This window comes from Homo sapiens, chromosome 1, assembly GCF_000001405.40.
Source record: "Homo sapiens chromosome 1, GRCh38.p14 Primary Assembly".
Taxonomy (NCBI): domain Eukaryota; kingdom Metazoa; phylum Chordata; class Mammalia; order Primates; family Hominidae; genus Homo; species Homo sapiens.
The window spans coordinates 73706196-73727873 of NC_000001.11; the positions used below are offsets into that span (position 1 = coordinate 73706196).

Genomic DNA, 21678 nt, shown 5'->3' on the forward strand with positions numbered 1-21678 from the left:
TAAGTTGTGTCTCTGTTTGGTTTTGTTATCAGGGTAATTGTGGCCTTGTAGAATGAGTTTGGAAGTATTGCCTTCACTTAATTTGTTAAAATACCTTGAGTAGAATTGGTATTAGTTCTTCTTTAAATGTTGGTATAATTCAGCAGTGTAGCCATCTGATCTTGGGTTTTTCTTTGGTGGGAGGCTTTTTCATTACTGCTTCTATCTCATTCCTTGTTATTTATCTGTTCAGGTTTTCTATTTTGTCATGGTTCAATCGTATTAGGTTGTATGTGTCCAGAAATTTATCCGTTTCTTCCAGGTCTTCCAATTTATTGACATATAATTGATCACAGTAGTCTCTGATGATAGTTTGCATTTTTCTGGTATCAGTCATAATGTCTACTTTTTCATTTCTGATTTTATTTATTTGGTCTTATGTCTGTTTTTCTTAGTTTAGTTAAAGGCTTGTGATTTTGTTTCTCTCTTAAAAAACAAACTTTCCATTTCACCGATCTTTTGTACTTTTTTTAGCCTCAATTTTATTTATTTCTTCTTTGATATTTATTATTTCTTACCTTATTTAATTTTGGGTTTGATTTGTTCTTGCTTTTCTAGTTCTTTAAGATGCATCATTAAAGACTCAATTTTTTGGATGTGGTCATTTATTACTATACGCATCCCTCTCAGTACTGTTTTTGCTGTATCCCACAGGTTTGGGTATGCTATGTTTCCATTTTCATTTGTTTCCATTTTTTTTAGATTTTCTTCTTAATATTTTAATTGACCCATCAGTAAATCAGGAGCATATTGTTTTATTTTCATATATTTGTATAATTTCCAAAGTTCCTCTTGTTTTTGATTTCTGATTATATTCTATTATAGTCAGAAAAGACACTTACTATGATTTCATTTTTTTTGAATTTGCTGAAGACTTGTTTTATGGCCTAACATATAGTCTATCCCGGAAAATGTTCCATGTACTGTTGAGAAGAATGTGTATTCTGCAGCTGTTGGATGAAATGTTCTGTAAATGTCTGTTACGTCCATTTGGTCTATATTGCAGATTAAAACAGATATTTCTTTGTTTATTTTTCTGTCTAGATCATCTGTCCAATGCTGAAATCCCCAATTATTGATGTTGAAGTCCCCAGTTATTGGAGTTAAATAATAAATGAGCCCTAGCTTATTTTAACTTTTTTACTTTATACAATTTTTAATTATTTTTAACCTATTACCTTTTCTGTAATAATACATTTTAAAACACATACATTGTACAGCTGTCCAAAAGTATTTTCTTTCTTTACATCCTTATTCTAAATGTTTTTATTTTAAGTTTTCTTATTTTTATTTTTTACTGTTTAGATTTTTTGTTGAAAACTAAGGCACAAACACACACAGTAGCCTAGGCCTACACAGGGTCAGGATTATCGGTATCACTGTCTTCTACCTACACATCTTTAGGTAGATCTTTAGGGGCATTAATACACATGGAGTTGTTATCTCCTATTATAACAATTCCTTCTTTTGAAATGTCTCCTGAAGGACCTGCCTGAAGCTGTTTAACAGTTAACTTATTTTTTAATGAATAGAAGGAATACACTCTTAAATAATGATATAAAGTATAGTATAGTAAATACATAAACCTTTAACTTAGTTGTTTATTACTATTGTCAAGTATTATGTACTGTACATAATCATAAGTGCTATACTTTTATAAGACTGATAGCATAATAGGTTTGTTGACACCAAAATCATCACAGACAGGCAAACATGTGAGAAATGCATTGTACTAAAACACTACAATGACTCTGATGTCACCAGGCAGTAGAAATTTTTCAGCTCCATTATAATATTATGGGACCACCATCAAACGTGTGGTCCCTCATTGGCTAAAATGTTATGCAGCATGTGACTGTGTAGCAAAACCATAAAGAGTTCAGGAAGTCTTTGAAATGTTTTAAAATCCCTGATGTTTAGTTGAAGTTATACTATTTAGAAATAAAAACAAAATCCTAAGCCCCTCAACTGACTGAAATCTCCCCTCTTGGCCAAGGGATCACCAGGAAAACTTTGGAAACTAAGTTCTCAGCCATGACAGGATGAAAGGTCAGACATGCCTGTTATAACCTCTCCCTTGCTAACTACCATTAGGCTTTCTTCCCTAAGGGCCAAACAGAAAACAGCCCTTTCAAAAGACTCCATCCCTGCCATCAACCAACCGCCTGACTGCCGGCCTTCCCTTTTGGAGTTTCAACAAAGCTAGTGACCACCATTTCTTCCTGATGAGAGACCATTAACCATTGGTTGTTCTGGCCAAGGGTTTTCGTGTCTTCTGTTTCACCTTTTCATGTCAGGGAGTTGAAAATTCCACCCTTGAATCATGCCAATGCCACTGATTTTTTGTACATGGAACCCCTGAAGAGGCATGAAGCTCAATTGTGCACATTTCTCCTCTCATAAATATCAGGACTCCTCCTGTAGCTTATTAAATATGTGTATTTGGCTTTCCTGCTCAGTATAAATTTCTATTCCCTTTACCTCTCCCTCAAAGTATGTTTCTGGCTTCTGGCCACAGGCTATGGTTCTCAGCCTGTCAGAATGGCCATCCTGCAGGCTGCACCCTCTTGTAAGAAATAAAGCTCTCCTTTCCAAATTTATGAACTTTGTCATTCTTTAGTGGACACTGTGCTGTTATAACAAATATTTATTTTGAAAGACAAAGCCAATACCCTGTGCTTTGACTTTGGAAATGTCTTTATCTTTTCTTTCTGTAAATCATAGGTCATTATGCTCTGCCCACGTGCCCATCTGTTCACATGTATGTAATATGCAGCATGTGCCTCACACTGTTACCCATTGGAGTGCCTATGTGACTTAGCTGACTCCTACGCTGCTTGTTTTTGCCCAATCAATATCTGTGTGATATAGCTGAATTCTTACTCGGTGTCAACTCTGCTTATTTTTAGGAAACAGGATATCTGTGGTCAGAAGTTGCCTCTTAGGACTAAACCAGTGAAAGATGGGAAAATCCATGATGGAAGCTTGCTTGAACTCTGAAGAAACACTGGCTTCTTTGTAATCCAATTTCCATATTAAATGACAGTCCAGCCAGTACCATGAAAGTTGAAAATCACCATGACAATGACAAGAAGAGACCAAAAAAGGGCAGAAAAGGGGCTCCTTGATTCCAGGGAAATCTTCAACCCTCCTTGATTCCAGGAAAATCTTTATCCCTTCCTAAGAAAAGCGTAAGTATTCCTGCCTTTGCTTTCAATTCCCAACCCCTTCATTAAAGCTATCCTACATCTGTAACTTCCTGGTTCTCAGGAGCCAAGAAGTTGATTGGTGGGCCACTCTCCCACTTCTCCATTTTATGACCATCAAATAAAGCCTGCACTTCTCAATGCTCCTTTCCCATTTCATATACTGACTTCACAACACCAAACATAAAAGACCCCACCTTTTACGGTAACTGGGAACCCCTAGTAACAATAATGGTTAAAGTGTCACAGAAAATATTAGGCCCAGGCATTAACATAACTAGAATCCAGAGAGAGAACAAGGAAGGTCCTCTTGGGGGAAGGAAGCAAGAAGGAAGAGAAAATGAAAGGGAGATGAAGGAATGAAAGGACAGAACTATGAAGGAGGGAGGATGGCTAAGAATGAAAGGAGCCTAGAAAGCTGGCCTCCAAAGAAATTTAGGCTCAGCGTCTGCAGAAAATTTATTTCCTTGACCCAGGGAGTCCTCTTCGGTAAGGAGGATTATTAAAACTTCGATATGTCTCCCTTGGCAATGTTCGTATATTATTTCCCAACTTACATGAAAGAAAACAAAGAGACAGCTTGCCTTGTGAGAAGACAGTGTGGATGTGGCAATGAGAAGATGAAATGTAAATCCTTTTATATTGTTACAAGTTAGACATAAAGAAAGACTTCACTGGTGTGTCTAACAGTCAGTGATTTTGCAGAGACAGCTTGTCTGGCTCTGCCCCTTGCCTGGCATTGTGCTGTGGCTAATTGGACCAGGCAGCTCTTTTTCATTAGTGTTTTTAGTTCCTGCCCTAGTAATGTAAAGGTAAATCTATTTTTATCTTCTTGGCTGTATCTATTGATATTTAATGACAGGAAGTTCACCTTTCAGTACAACTAAAAATATTATGCCTCTCAGGATTACTGGTTTTCTTTTTATTCTTTTTTCATCTACACTGAACAGAAAGATCACCATAATAATCGTATGCTATTTTAATGATAGTGTAAATGTATTGGCATTTTTCCTCTCAGGTAGAACTCAAAGTGAAGCTTTCAGGTTTCTGGAGAGAAACATTTTGGTCTCTTCATAGTTCGCACTGTTACACCCCACAGTCAGCTGCCCATTATTCATTCTCTCTGCCCAGATGATAAAATAACAAGCTTTGTACTCCATTGCTGTGTGTGTTGGTGCTTCAAAGATGGCGTGCTGAGAGAACCTGCCCTCTCCTAAAGTGAATGTTAGAAGTTTCAGGAAAAGGTCCAACGTCCTTCAAAATCTTACCTTCTCTAATAAGGGAGGTGAAAGATGTCAAGAAAAGGCCACTAGCAGTCCACTGTGAATTATCTGTTTCCTCACCAAGAACTAATGGTCTGCACTGGGATTCCTCATCTTCTTTTAACTCTCATGCCATAGTCAGGTTTCCAAGAAATGCAACATATAGCATCCTACAGAAAAAAAAATACCCAGTATTAGTTATGTATGGATTTCTGTCCTGAGAATGGCTCTAGGGATCTGGGATCAGAGTATAGGAGAAAAATAAGAAAGTCATTTTCCTCCATTAATTCTAGAGCTTATCCAAGTTATCAGGTTCCTTAGTCATACCAACTTCCAAATTTTTCAAAACTAAAGGTAATATTGAATTAACTTAATCTTGTAAGAGAAACAGGTTGATAATACTAAACTTGGAGTATATAGGTGCATTAACCTTGGAATATATAAGTTCTTTCTATCTCCTCAAGTTCTTCTGATTGATTCTCAACTTCACTAAACAAGAATCCGTAAAGGCAGAAGACAAAAAATATGTGACTATAGTCAAGTGGGCTCAAAAGTCTTCACTCATATTTATAGAGTCCTTACAATGTTACTGGCATTGAGCCAAGTATTTTATATGTATTATCTCACTTAATTCTCACCAAATCTGATGTGGATGATGTTATTTTCCCCTCTTGTGGATAAGAAGATAAGAACCAGGGAGGATAAATAACTTGCCCACAAACATATAAACAGTAAGTTGCAGAGTGAAGTTTAAATCCAGAAACCAGAGACTTTGCTCTCAACTGCTGATCTGAAATAAAAGTTATTACTCTTCTAATGAGGGAGACATTTCCTTCAAGTCTTGTTTTTCTGCATAAAAATTCATGCAGATATTATATGTGACAACTTTTAATATTTGTTTTAAGAATAAAATTTGTTTAATGCAACCTTTTGGCTACCAGAAAAGACACTGTTGCATTTTAAAAATTAGTTTCTGAAATTTTGGTAGAATTGAAAAATATAAATATTACATATCAAATTTTCTTATTATTGTATACATACACATAGATTTGATGTAAAAAGCGATCAACTGATGAAGGAACAAATGTGTGATCTATTAATTCTGTTGTCTTCCACTGTACATTCCTAAAAATTGGGTCTAGTCTGGCTTAAGAAGCAAAGCAAAATAACGCTCCACAGATTAAAATCCTCCAGTGGCTTGTCTGGAATGTAAAGTCCCAACTAGGGAAAATATAGCCCTTGATGTTCAATTCCTGGCTAATTCTCCAGCTTTACACCTAACTCTAGTCATATTCAACTTCACTTAAAAATCCATACACTATGCTCTAGTTACTTCTAATTTTTCCTAAATCCCTGCTCATGTCCAGAGCTTTTTGCAATTCTATTGCTCAGTTAATCACTCTTCATCCTTGGACTTCTATTTAAACATTTCTTTTGGAACATCTTTCTTAATTCAGTTCTCTAAATTAAAAGTAGATGACTTTCCTATGTATTCCCATATATACTATAATTCTCCATTTAGTACTTGACCCTTAGTATTGAAATCGACTTACTATTGATCTGTATTCTCCATTATATTATAAACTCTTTGAGAGCAAGTGCAATGTTGTATTCAGCTTTATTTTATTAGCACTTAGCACAGTATCAGACCTTCATAGTAAATGCTTAAGAAAATATTGACTATTGAATTAATTATTTTACCTTTACTACTGATGAAGGGAGTTGAAAAGTAGTTATTAGATAAAACAATTGTATCAGTAAATATCAACTCCTTTTACTAACCTAAAATTTGGGACATTTCACAATGTTATATAATTACAATGGTGCTCAATGAATTTATATCTTTCATCATTATTTTATCCATTTATCTATTTTTTTAGAGTCTCTTTACTCTTTTTGTCATATCTTCTTCCTCTGACGTTAGCCTCTATATAGAGCTCTGTCTGAGCAATCTGAATGAGATTTGAATAGAGGTGACAACTTGGTTTAAGTTCAGGCCTATCCAAATCATTGCTCTCAGTGGATTCACTTCTACTTCTTAAACTACATAATTTTCTCATTTAATACACTTATAATCGTTTTATAAAAATAGAGTACTTATTTGCCTCTTTGAGAATTGTAATTAGTTGTTATCTTTCTGGCATCATCTTCTAGATTGTGACTTCTACTTCACTTGATGAAAAGAGCAATGTCTGCCTGCTGACTCACTGTGATTAGTAACCCATTTTACATACAGGAAGAAACAAATAGGTTTGCTAACTATGTTATTGATTGGACAATTCATTTGGAAAAAGAAATTCTTTTCTTTTGATGTAATTTTTGCAAAAGGGAGAGAAAATGCACTTCATAAAGAAAAGACCAGTACCTGTCCTCCATAATTCTGTGTATGAGAGTCACAAAAGCAGATAGATGGGACATTCAAATCGAGTAATATGAGAAGAGGTTATTTAATGTACTGTTTATAAAAGTGCATTCATAACCACAACATAGGGCTAGTGTGGTGCCTAAAGTTAGTAATAGTAGAACACCAAGAGGGAAAGATTACCAAAATCTGTAGACAGAAAGAGAGAGAGATGTGTGGAGCGATCTTTCCTCAAAAGATCCAGCCTATTTATGGCATATCCACAGGGAGTAGGTTTACTCCTTTCCTCCAGTCTCCAGCCAGTACTCTGGAGTAATTTAATATAACTGGAATCCAGAGAGAGAACAAGAAAGGTCATGGAGGTAATTCTTACAGATTATCCTCTTGGGGTACACAGCAAGTCAGAGAAGGTTAAAGAGTAGATCTGAATGTCCAAACAGAATTCGTGAATACATCTAGTTTCCAGTTGAGCTCCACCGACTATTATTAAGTAACCTTTAAGTTCATAGGAAAATAACATAACAAGCTTAGACTGATCCTTCATTCACCCAGCTCCAAGACCTTTTGCTGAACTCAGGGACTCTGCCCTTCTGCTAGGGGTATTCTAGCAAAATTACAATTTACAAATTGACAACTTCTAAAATTGACAGCTCTTGTATATGTATTTTCAAATGCTTCTTAATGCTACTACATCATTAATTTCTAATTATTACCAAGCTTTCTACAGTTTAGAAAGATGTGTAGTCTCACAGTATATTTCCATCATCCAGAATGTTTATGTCATTGTAGTTATAACTTCTCACCCTTCTATATTGTGTCGTTCAATGTGTGGTTTCTCTGGGGAGATGGATTACATTTTCAATAGATCCTAACTAACCTCTGGTCATTAGACTGAAAGTTCCAAGAATAAAGGATTCACGTTAGGATATATTTTTGGATATTTAACCTTCTATTTCAGCAAAAGTTCAATAAGTCTTTTTAAAATAAAAATGAATATAAAACATATTTACCTTTTTTCCATTTTGGCAATTAAAATCATTTACCATAATGAAATACTTTTGAATTTTTTTAAGTGTGGCCAAAGCATTTTTCAGGTCTTTATCAAGGCCTTTGTCTCAGTATATTTTTCTTATAAAAGATAGACTAAAAATGATTTCATATAGAGTTTGAGATTTATTGGGAGGTACATTACCAAGGCAGCAAAGGTGAGAGAGGGAAGAAGGTAAATCAAATACAGGATATATATTTCGAAACTATTCAAACCTCCACAAGAAAATATAACAGTGCCTTAATCACATGAAACAGGTAAAGTTGTTCAGAGCCATGCTGCTTTGCAAAAGTTTCCTGGGGAAAGAAAGGAAAATAATTTATCTTCAGATTTCCTGACCTTGTCTCCTCTTTCTCAGTGGCCAAAAATTGACCACATGCATTAACAAAGCCTACAAAAAAAAAACCTTTCAGGTTGTGTCAACCAGACACTCCAGCAAGGTGCTCTGGAAGGCATAACCATGCTCTGACGTGTGAGGCTTTACCTAAGTCCAGAGTGGTGGAAGGAGCCAGAGCCTCTTGAGATCTGTTTATTCCTGGCCTGGGCTCCTAAGTCCTAAAGCTCCTCATTATGTTGGGGCCAAGGGAAGCAAGACATTAATCATAATCTTGAGGCTAGCAGAGACAAGTGGCAGTATTATATGATGGAACATGACTTTCCGTTGGGCAAGAGGTTTGGGGCCAGGAACTTAACTATTTAGCAATTAACTGTGAAACAAAGTGAATCTGGGGAACATCATAAATTGAGTCTCTGAGATTCACATACATACTCCCATGATACCTGGCTTTGTGGTAACAAGAGAAATAATAACAAAATGTTATAACTTCTTCTGTGAAACAGGAGGTACAAGTTCAATCTCTGAAGATGATGGAGGAATATATCTACGCTTGAATCCATCTGGAGTTACAACTTTACACCTCTCTCTTCAAAGTCCTCTTTCCCAAGACAGGCGCCCCTTTCTAGGGTCATTCATTCTAAAATCTATGTGTAATTCCAGCCTATTTGAACTGGAATAGGAGTAATCAACCAAATCAGTGTTGTTTTCAACAGTAAGCTCTAAAGATGAGATATATTTTAATAAACATGTATCTTTTTTATTATACTTTAAGTCCTGGGATATATGTGCAGAATGTGCAGGTTTGTTACATAGGTATAAATGTGCCATGGTGGATTGCTGCACCCATCAAACCATCGTCTACATTAGGTATTTCTCCTAATGCTATCCCTCCCCTAGTCTCCCATCCCTGACAGGTCCCATTGTGTGATGTTCCCCTCTCTGTGTCTATGTGTTCTCATAGTTCAACTCCCACTTGGGAGTGTGAACATGTGGTGTTTGGTTTTCTGTTCCTGTGTTAGTTTGCTGAGAATGATGGTTTCCACTTTCATCCAAGTACCTGCAAAGGACATGAACTCATCCTCTTTTATGGCTGCATAGTATTCCACGGTATATATGTGCCACATTTTCTTTATCCAGTCTATCGTTGATGGGCATTTGGGTTGGTTCCAAGTCTTTGCTATTGTGAATAGTGCTGCAATAAACATACGTGTGCATGTGTCTTTATAGCAGAATGATTTATAATCCTTTGGGTATATACCAGTAATGGTATTGCTGGGTCAAATGGTATTTCTGGTTCTAGATCCTTGAGGAATTGTATAGTATATATTCTTGTCCTGACAACAGAGTAAGATAGTAAATAAAACACATACCTGTGACAGACTTTCCAATGGAAAATATTCTTAATGGAAGACACTGACTAGAGCAGTCCTTGTTAGTTTCCCTGTAGAATTCTTCTAAAATTATAGAAACACTCAGCGCATAGGCCAATCACAATTATACTTACAGCTTGTGTTTATGAAACGCCTAAATTTCTGAATAATAATATCATTAAGGAAACAAAAAATAAATAGGATTTTGGCATTTACCTATTTCCTAATATTCCTGATTGCATATATATATTTTAAAAATTCCTTTTGTATAAACTCATCAAAATGTTTTATTATTTTGTTCTTTGTATTTTACCCATTTACTTAGTAGTTCTATTTTTAAAAGCATATGTAGCATGCCATGAGATATCACTACAAAAATAAGTACCTCATTCTTTCTCTCTCTTTTTACTGCATTCTGTCTTGAAACCAATCCAATTCAATCTAAATGGAGGTGACTCCACAGCACCACTATTACGGCTAATGCAATACTGACTAGTGTTTTCCACAATACTCTGTTGATGGTCTGACATCCTATCTGGAACTATCGTACACAGGTGATGGAAATGATCATTCTTTCCTTCTTAAAGTATTCTCTTCACTTGACTCTAGGACACAATATATCTAACAACAGCTTTTTACCTCAAGAGCAGCCTATTCAATGTCTCATTACCAGCTTCTGCTCCTCTTGCAAACTTCTCAGAGAGTGTTTCACTTCTCTCAATTCCTGTCTTCTCATGTACAGATACCTAAATAAACTCATCCAATCCGATTAAAAAATACTACTTCTGCTCTGATGATTTCTAAATTTCTATGTCTAGTCTGAATCTTTATTCTGAGCTGCATACTCATATACCCATGTGTCCAATTGTGTTCTCACATCTCCATCTCATATCTAAAAGGCATCTCACATGTTATTTGGCCAGAACAGAATACTTTTTCTCCGTGTAAATTTTTCTTCCCTCAGGTTTCCAATAAATTGAACCATTTCTTCAGGTAGTCAGGCCCCAAAACTTAGAGTCTTCCATAGCTCTTCTTTTTCTTCTAAACTCCTTACTCAATTCATAAGCCAGCACTAACGTAATAACTTTTAAAATACGCGCTGAATCACCATTTCTTGATCCGACGTTACCACTGTCCTGGTCCATGGCACCATCCTGTCTTCTTTTGACTGCAGCACTGAGCTGCAAATTTTGCCCCCATTCATGTACATTCTTTACGGAGCAGAATGGCAAATTTCCTTTTTTCTCGCCCAGCCTTTTTCCTCCTCTATATCACTCTTTATCAGAACAGAACAGAGAAATATGATTCATGCTGCCACTTGCATTTCTCCTAAGACTCTGGCAATAAGTAACTGTTGAATTTTTTTTCATATTGCTCCTATCTTCCTAAATTTTGTAAGTTACTCCTCCTTTCTAGGGCCTTTAGTTAACATAAAAGGAATTTAATTGACTAAATTTTGCATTTTAAAAGCATTACATTACTATAAGATCAACTATAAAGCAGCTTCTAACTAAAGATCTTATTAAAGGTATCCAAGTGTTTTCTTACCGAACATTTTAAGCACATAACTAAACATATTTTAAAACTAGTGTTTTGGTTACACTCTATTCACACTCCATGCAAGTTCTAGAAAATTTGCATTTTGGTCAAATATGTGTAAATCAATTCAAATTAATTCAGGAGAAAGATTTATTTAAGGAAATTGTACAGTGAGTCCTTTTTAAAGACTTTTTTTTATTAAGTGAATCATCACTCTCTAAAACATCTCATTTTAAAATTCAGATTTGCATTTATAAGGTTTACTTATCATAGGAGCCCCTCTATCTCCAAAGTTCTCTAGCTTAAAAATATTTTTGGCTTGGTTTTTCTCTTAGTAATAAAAACATTGTTTTACTATTTGATTAGTATGTATCTTAAACTGACTTCAAAACTGACACATTTCCCTGTCTTAATTCTACTGAGGGTTAATCCTCTTGGTCACATTTGAACATCCTTCCAATCACTGTTATCTGACATAATTAAACTAAAAAAGTCACCTCTTTTTATTTTTATTCATTTTTACAATTCATTATGTAATAATTTAAGCATACGTAAAAGTAAACAAAATTATTTTTACTTATAACCACTTGTTTCTGCACTTCAGCAGTGTTGACATTTTAGACCAAATAGTTATTTTGGGGAAGTGCAGTCCTGTGCATTTAGGAATATTTTAGAAAATTTAGCAGTATCCTTGGCTTCTTTTTCTAGATGTCAGTGGCATCTGACTCCCAGCCATCACAATAAAAAATATATCCAGATCTTGCCATATGTTCTCTGAAACAGAGCTTCTCAACCCCCGAGCCATGGCCTGGTACCAGTCCATGGCCTGTCAGAAACTGGGCAGCACAGCAGGAGGTGAGCAGTGGGCAAGCCAGCATAACTGCCTGAGCTCTGCCTCCTGTCAGAAACAATGATGCCATTACATTCTCACAAGATGGCAAACCCTATTGTGAACTGCACATATGAGGGATCTAGGATGCACAGTCTTTATGAGAATCTCATGCATGATGATCTGAGGTGAAACAGTTTCATCCCAAACCCATCACCTCCAACCCCATCTGTGGAAAAATTATCTTCCACAAAACTGGTGTCTGGTGCCAAAAAGATTGGGGATCGCTGCTCTGAAGGACAAAATTGATCCTGCTTAAGAACTACTGCAAAGGCCATCCACCACTCCCTTACTTTCCAGATATATGATCTAATCCATATATTCTCCAGTCATCCATCTATCTATCTATTTATCTATCTATCTAAAGACTTATAAACAATCACAACACCTTCACCACAGCTACAAATATGTAACAACAATTGCTCAATATCATTAAATAGCCAGAATCTTCTCCAAATTCCAATTCACTCATATATAACACATTTTTCTTTCTGCAGTCTATTTTTGTGTGTTACATTCTGTCTCCTCTCTTTTTCAATCTCTAGATAGATAAATGTTAAAAGATAGATAGATAGATGATAGATAGATAGATAGATAGATAGACAGATAGACAGACATGTAGGTACATACGCTTATCTCTGGAAAGATAAGTACATACTCACACGCACACAGACAAAGAATACACATATATTTGTGTGAGTGTGGGTATGAGTGGGTGCATGTGGATAGTTTGAATTAGAGTACAAAGTAAATATAATATAATTAGATTTAAGTCTTTTAAAATCTTTATGGTTTCATTATCATTCTCTTGATGTTCCTAGGGAGTTATATATTAAAGAAACTGCTTCATTTTTCCTATAGAATTTCACAAAGACTTGATTTTCTAATTGTACCCCCATAGTGTAGATGGCTCTGTTTTTCTTGGTATTTCCTGGCATTTGAATCCAAATGGAAGTCTTTGCACATCCATCTGAGGGGATTAACCCTTTATTTCCCAAGGAAACAGAAATGGCCTCCCTTGAGGCAACTGCCAATCAAAACTTACAGCTCCTCCTCAGTACCTATGTCCACCACAAATTTTTGCTTCTGGACTTATAACTAAACTCAAGACCCAGCAGACCCCTCAAGGTGAGGTGCAAGTGTGAGCCATGAGAAGGTTTGTGACACTCCAGAAGCTCTAGATTTTTCCAATTTATACAGATAGAAATCCAGGGTACCTGTATGGGAATGTAAGCGAAGGATTTAGAATAATGATGAAAGGAACATAAAGTTGAATCGTGCTGAATTTACTTATATTGGCTCACTATGCAGAGATTTTACATTTAACGACGTAGCTCAGAGAATTTAAAAAGGGCTGTAATAGTTTATTTGGTTTGTGGGCTGAAACATGGATCAAAAGATGATCTCCAATGAGTGAATTAGAAATGTCTAATCTTAGCCGGGCATGGTGGCTCACGCCTGTAATCCCAGCACTTTGGGAGGTCGAGGCGGGCTGATCACGAGGTCAGGAGATCCTGGCCAACATGGTGAAACGCTGTCTCTACTAAAAATACAAAAATTAGCTGGGCATGGTGGCATGTGCCTGTAATCCCAGCTACTCAGGAGTCTGAGGCAGGAGAATCGCTTGAATCAGGGAGTCGCAGGTTGCAGTGAGCCTAGGTCTTGCCACTGCACTCCAGCCTAGCAACAGAGTGAGACTATGGAAAAAAAAAAAAAGGAAGATGGAAAGGAAGGAAGGAAGGAAGGAAGGAAGGAAGGAAGGAAGGAAGGAAGAAAGAAAGAAAGAAAGAAAGAAAGAAAGAAAGAAAGAAAGAAAGGAAAGAAAGAAAGAAAGAAAGAAAGAAAGAAAGAAAGAAAGAAAAGAAAAAGAAAGAAAGAAAGAAGAAAGACAGAAAGAAAAGAGCGAGCCTAATCTTCCTTAGTTTAATGTAGAGGGGAAAGGATTCAAAGTTCAAAGCCTTTAGGAAACTGGAATGTTAGAGTAGATTTGTCATTTAAGATACTTGCTCACAGTGGGAAGGTCTAGAAGACATATTTATTATGAATATTTTGAGAAATAACATTATGATAGAAGCCCTGCATCCTTGAAGAGCTTCATGATCATTATTCTCTGCAGGCCAGACCTTTCAGTGAGAACTGCAGCCACTCAATTGGGAAACCTGAATGCAACAGGAGTAATTGGACCTCAGGGTGGCAGCAGCCAAAAGGCAGCATTCAACTGCCGAAGGCAATGCGGAGGTGGTTACCATTATAGACTGCAGAGTCAATGAAGCAATCAGAATGGTATGGCTCATGCAGACTAATTGATCATAGTGTTTCCAGAAGTGAAATTGATAGGAAATCTACTAAATTCTTACTTGATCCTCCATCAATGTCCAGACTTGAGTCAGATTACAGACCCAGAACCCTTTGAGTACAGGGGAGGTCAAGTTCCCTTGAGGAAAGACCCTGGTATACTACACAAAATGTATACTGTTAATCTTTCTACCAGGCTTTTCCGAAGGAATCAAAAAGGATCTATGGCCTTTTATAAGCATAACTGTATATTGGAGAAAAAGAAATAATTGGGCCTTTGGGAGACTACTTAACGTTGGCTCTGAACTGACACTGATTCTAGAATAACAAAAACATTATTGTGGCCATTCAGTCAGAATATAGGCTTATGAAGCTTTACCTCATGTTCATCACATACTGGGTAAAGTGGGTTTGAAAATCCATCATGTAGTTATTTCCCCAGTTTCATAAGTATAATTGGAATAGAAATACTTAGCAAGAGGCAGAATTCTCACATCAGTTCCCTGATCTGTGGAGTGAGGGCTATTATGGTGTGGAAGGTCAAGTAAAAGCCATTAGAACTGACTCTACCTAAGAAAATAGTAAATCAAAAGCAATATTAAATTCCTGGAGAGATTGCTGAGATTAGTGCCACCTTCAAGGACTTAAAAGATGCAGGGTGGGCAATTTCTACCATATCTTTGTTCAACTCTCTGATTTGGCCTGTGCTGAAGACAGATTAATATTGATGAATAACAGTGGATTGTTACAAGCTTGACCATGTGGTGCTTCCAAATGCAGCTGCTGTACCATAAATAGTTTCATTGCTTGAGAAAATTAACACATTGCCTGGTACCTAGTATAGAGCTATTAATCTGGCAAATGCCTTTTTCTCCATATCTATCCCCTAAAGTTCACCAGAAGCAGTTTGTGTTAAGATGGCAAGTCTAGCAATACATCTTCACTGTCCTATTTGAGGGGTACGTCAACTCTCTAGTTTTATGTCATAATTTTGTTCACAGGGATCTTGATTACCTTTTTCTTTCATAAAATATCAAACACTGGTTCATTTCATTGATGCTATTATGCTGACTGAACCTAGAGAGCAAGAAGTAACTACTGTAGACTTATTGATAAGGCACTGTATGTCAGAGGGTGGGAAATAAATCCAACTAAAATTCAGGGGTCTTCTACCTCGTGAAAGTTCTAGGCGTCCAGTGGTATGGAGCATCTTGAAATATCCCTTCTAAGCTGAATGATAACTTGTTGCAGTTGACTTCTCCCTCAACTGAAAAAGAAGCACAATGTTTACTGAGCCTCTTTGGACTTTGGATACAACATAGTTCTCATTTAGGGATGTTACCTTAGGCCATTTACAGAGTGATCTGCAAAGCTGCTAGTTTTAAGGGGAATCCAAAGGAGAAAGCTCATTGTAACAAGTCCAGCTTACTGTGCAAGCTTCTCTGCCACTTGGGTCACATGAACCAACAGATCCAATGGAATTTTAGGTGTCAGTGGCAGATAGATATGTTGTGTGGAGCTTTGGCAGGTTCCCAGAGGTGAATCCCAGTGCAAGCCTTTGGGATTTTGAAGTAAGATCCTACCACTAATTATAGATAACTACTTTCCTTTTGAGAGTCAGCTCTTGGTCTGTTACTAGGCCTTAACAGAAACTGAGCACTTGACTATGGGTTAACAAGTTACCATGCCCATCATAAACTGGGTAATATTTCACCCACCCAAGCCATAATTGGGCATAAATAGCAGTACTTCCTCCTCAGATGGAAGTGATATCTATGTGAGCAGACCTGAGCAGGCCCTGAAGGCACAAGTAAGTTACAAGAAGAAGTGGCTCAAATGTTCATGGTCCCCATTCCAGCTACACTGTCTTCTCTTTTCCAGCCCGCACTTACAGCCTCATGGAGAGTCCCCTATGATCAGTTGACAAAGGAAGAGAAGACTCAGGCCTAGTTTACAGATAGTTCTGCATAGCATGCTGCAGCCGTGGCAAATGGACAGCAGCAGCACTACAAACCCTTTCTGGGACATCCCTGAAGGACAGTGATGAAGGGAAACCCTCCCACTGGGCAGAACTTTGGGGAATGCAACTGGCTGAGTACTTTGTTTGGAAGTATATATGACCAGATTTAGAATTATAAACCAATTCATGGGCTGGAGCCAATGGTTTGATGGATAATTAGGGTCTTTGAAGGAGCACAGTTGAAAAATAGGTGACAAAAATATTTGAAGAATAAGTCTGTAGATTGACTGGTCTGAATGGGCAAAACACTAAGATAATTCTGTCTCATGTGAATGCTTAGCAAAGAATGACCTCTGCAGAAAACTTTAATAACCAAGTGGATAGGATAACCAACCCTGTGGATTCCAGGTTCTTTTCCTAGCCCCCTTTGTCATTGTTCAATGGGCTCATTAACCAAGTGGCCTTGGTGGCAAGAATGGAGGTTATGCATGGGTCCAATAACATGAACTCCCATTCACTAAGGCAGATATGGCTATGGTTCCCGTAGAGTGCCCATCTTATCATCAGCAATGACCAATACTGAGTCTCTGATATGGCTTTATTAACCTGGGTGATCAACCAGCTTCCTGGTGCAGGTTGATGACATTAGACCACGTCCATCATGGAAGAGACAGTGTTTTGTCCTTACTAGAACAGACACTTATTCTGAATTTGAATTTGCCTTCCCTAGACTCATTGCTTCTGCTAAAACTACCATCTGTGGACCCATAGAATGCTTAATCCACCATCTTGGTAGTCCACATAGCATTGCTTCTGATTCAGGAACTCAACTTTGCAGTAAAATATGTGAAGCAATGAGCTTATTCTCATGGAATTTACTGTTCCTATCATGTTTCCCACCATCCTGAAGCAGCTGACTTGACAGAATGGTGTAAGGGCCTTTGAAGATGAACTTACAGTACCAGCTAGTGGCAATACTTCTGATGGCTGGGGAAAAGTTTTCCAGTTGGTTGTATATGCTCTGAATCATCATCCAATTTATGCTGCTATTTCTTTGATAGCCAGAATTCATGGGCCCAGGATTCAAAGGGTAGAAATGAGAATGTCTTCATTCACTATTACTCCTAGTGAACCTCTCGCAAAATATTTGCTTCTTTTTCCATGAATTTATGCTCTTTTGGCCTAGAAGCCTTAATTTGAGCAGGAGGAATGTTTTCACCAGAAGAAACAATGCTGATTCCACTAATAGTGGAAGCTAAGATAGCCACACAACCACTTTGGGCTCCTCATGCCTCAGAATCAACATGCAGAGAAGGGAGTTAGAGTGTTGTCTAGGGTGATTGAAATGTACTACCAAGGGGAATTGGACGACTACTTTAAAATGGAAGTGATAAAGAGTATGTCTGGAAGGCAGAAGATCCCTTAAGATATGTCTTAGTATTGTCAGGCTCTTAATTAAGGTCATTAAAAAATTACAATGACACACTCCAGGCTGAACTACTGATAGCCAAGATCCTTTAGAAATAAAAGGTCGGATAACCTTGCCAAGTGAAGGACTACAACCAGCTGAAAGCAAAAAAGAAAATACAGAATGGGTAGTAGAAGGTGCTTATAAATGCCACATGCAACTACATAATAACTTACATAAATGATAACTGTAATTGTCATGAGAATTTCCTCCTTTTTCGTTATGAATTCATTTGTGTTTACACATATATTATATACATTAAGCAAGTATCTTTTTTCCTGTTATTTATCATGCACCATAAGATGTATTGACATTATATCAATATTTAAGTATAATATTTTTATTATATTTTTAAGTTACAGGATAATAAGTGACGAGTAAACATCATTCAAAGATATTAACTCCCTTTCTGGGGAAGGGACTAATGCGTTTTGGTTGTGCTCAAAACAGTTTGTTTTATGTTAGGTAGAATTATGACTTTGTCAGTGTCTTTATTTGGAGTTTAGGTATGGTTTAAGGAGATCTATATGGGTGCCATGATGACAAGTGATAGACTTATAATAGTTAATTTTATGTGTCAACTTGACCAGGCTAAGGGATGCCCCGAGAGCTCATAAAACATTATTTCTGGATGTGTCTCTGAAGGTGTTTCTGAAAAAGCTTAGCATTTGAATTTTCAGACTGAGTGAAGAAGATCACCCTCCCCAATGTGGATGGGCTCTATCCAATCCACTAGGAGCCCAAAGAGAATAAAAAGTTGGGAGAACAAAAGCAAATTACCTTCTGTTTGAATAAAGACATCTTCTCCTGGCTTTATATATGAGCATTCCTGGTTCTAAAACCACAGGACTTGGACTTACTTGCATCACTGCATTTTCTTGTTCTCCAGCTTTCATAGAGCATGTAGTGGAACTTCTCAGTTTACATGGCCATGTGAGCTAATCCCATATATAATATATGGAATATATATATACACACACACACACACACACATATGTATATATATTCTATTGGCTCTGTTTATCTGGAGAACTCTGACTAATACAGATGACATCACAAGGTTTTGTGTCCCTCCAATAGAAGGTACATGATGTCTGAATGTCTTTCTTTATATAATGCTAAAAGTGATTGATACTCAATGTTTGGGTACTTTAATCCATTAAAGGTTGAAAAACTGCTATTCTAATTCTATTATTCCTTCTTTCATTTATTAGCTGGGGTATTTCTCTAAATAGAATTTTCTCACAACTACTATTGGACTACTCAGGGGTGGAAAGTGTATAGAAAGAAGAGGATAAAAGCTAAATTATTTCACCTTATGGCTGCTTTTCATAATAATAACCAATTTCAGCAGAATCTTCCAATGGTGATAGGCCAGGTTTCTTTTGTTAATATTATTATCTTTATATACTCATGGATTTAAATATGCTTTATTCATTTCAACTCATTACAGTTATTAATTTTTGTTAATGCGAAGTTTTCCCTTATATTTTCAGTAGGATCTCTTCAAACTGACTCCTGAATCCTCTTGATAGGGCTCAAGAATCTTTGAAAATATTTTACTCCGTGGTATGTTCAGATGTCCAGGCTCATCTTGCATATTTCCAAATCTGAAGTCAGCCATTTCTTTAAGCACAGAAGAGCACAGTTCTCACGACAATTAAAATAATGTCTTTCCATGTCACTCACATTTCATCACATCTATATCTATATCTACTTAATTTTTCCATGCATATGATGTATGAAATTTACAAGTCGACCGGGCGCAGTGGCTCATGTCTGTAATCCCAGTACTTTGGGAGGCCAAAGCAGGCTTCTGTCTGTAATCCCAGCACTTTGGGAGGCCAAGGCAGAACTTTGGGAGTCCGAGGCAGGCAAGGTTAGGAGTTCAAGACCAGCCTGTCCGATATGGTGAAACCCCGTCTGTACTAAAAATACAAAATTTAGCCGGGTGTAGTGGCGGGCGCCTGTAGTCCCAGCTACTTGGGAGGCTGAGGCAGGAGAATTGCTTGAACCCAGGAGGCAGAGGTTGCAGTGAGCCAAGATCGCACCACTGCACTCCAGCCTGGGCGACAGAGCAAGACTATGTCCCCCCACCCCACCCCCGCAAAAAAACTTTACAAGTTAATGTTTATTGAAAAAATCTCAAAAATATGCTAATGAAAAGTAGTGAGAAAACTATTACTGGAGTATCATTAAACAGCAGAGACTTTGGAGTGCAACAGTAGTTTTGGATTCAGCTCCTCCATTGACTAACTCCTTGACCCCGTCAAGCAACTTAATCTCTTTGAGCTGATTTTCTCATCTTCAAAATGGAAATATAATGTTTACCCTTTTTTGGTGTAGCAATTATTAAACTTATCAATGTATTTTACCATGCCATGTGCTGATGTATTTTCTGGTGCATGGACACAACACATAATCTTCGCTATTATTATTATTCCTCTCCTTTTCTAATTGACTCTTTTCTGTTAGGAAAACCTATTTCTTTGCTCTCAGAACCTTATAAGTTATTTTGGCCATAGATGTCTTATTACCTGTCCACCACATGGTAATAATTTTTGTCTGCAATACAGAAACCACAGATTTCTGAGTTTACTATGGAAAATAGGAATTAGCTGTAGTAAAAAGGAATTATATCGGATTGTTCCTTTCTCTCTTGTTACTAACATAACCTATCATCTTTACCTTCCTTGACTACTACTGTGCACTGAACTGAGTTTCAATGTTTCCTTTATAATAACTTCCCAAACCCTCTTACTGGTCAGTGTGCTAAATAATTCTTCCATTTAACATATACTCCCTTGGCTTGATTTCCAGCTCCTAAAGAAATAAAGACTCAAGCTGAACTCTAGCAGCAATCTGCTTGTCTGGATTATAAACCAGATTACTTGTCAAAAGAACCTGTGAGAGGGAATAGAGTGGTTATGATTTTTGAAGCTAAGACTATTATGCCAATTTAAATAGGTGAGACCACTTGCCCTATATTCTTACTTATTCCATCAACAAGTGCACTTTAAATTTTCTTGCAAGCCTGAAAAACATTCTCCGGTTGAGTGACACCTTTAGGAAAACCAATATCTCAGTTCAAAGATTCTATTGCCAAGAGGAAAAAAACTGTTTGAAAAAATAAAATGAAACAAAATAAACCTAATGCCTGTTTTTATGGGGACTCTGCACTTGCCTTGTTTTCAGCCATGCACAAGCTAAACAGATTTAATTGCCTTTTCATATGTCAAAACCAGCCTGTCCAGAGGGACACAATAAGAGAAGCTTGTACAGGAACATTTTATGCTGTATCTGTTCCTGGAGCAATGGTGCTTATGTTTCCAAGGCTGTCAATTAAGCATATTTTTCCCCAGCACATATTCATTAAGACACAGTTGCCAAGTTCATTGCCACTGCATTTTTTATTATATACATTAGTTCTGGTTAAAGGACAATTTAGGAATGTTTTTATGGGGAATAAAGAGGGCCTCTGGCTGGATGATTTTTCTATCATTTATTACATTATAGTAGCAGAGAAAAATGGCCCTGTGTCCCTCATGATACACACCTATCTGCATTTAACTTAGTCTGATCCTTTGAATACCTTTATTGAGTGATGTTTTATCACCATATAATTTGTTCAAATACACAGTAAATATGTATGTATTGGCCTTTCATTGGAGATGTCTTACTAAATATTAGCTAGCAGGGATGGGAATATGAAGCAAATGACCAAAGGGATGTTATAATAAATATGATATAGGTATATTAAGAAATTCAAGCAAGTTGTTGTGTCTAGATGGTCATAGGTATGGAACAATGGCAGAAACTAAGAAACAGAAAAAGTAACCCCCCCATATTAGGAGAGTCAATGATGTTCTAAGGACAAAACAGATGGGGTTGAGTATACCTTTA

At 36.9% G+C, this 21678-nt stretch overlaps 1 long non-coding RNA gene across 1 annotated transcript in view; it reads left to right on the plus strand.

Moving 5' to 3' along the window:
- LINC02238 (long intergenic non-protein coding RNA 2238) overlaps window positions 1–21678 on the plus strand; it is a 63964-nt gene that overhangs the window by 31517 nt on the left and 10769 nt on the right. Inside the window, exon 3 of the long non-coding RNA NR_146300.1 lies at window positions 2949–3230. This is a non-coding gene — a long non-coding RNA (long intergenic non-protein coding RNA 2238). The remainder of the gene's footprint in view (window positions 1–2948; window positions 3231–21678) is intronic.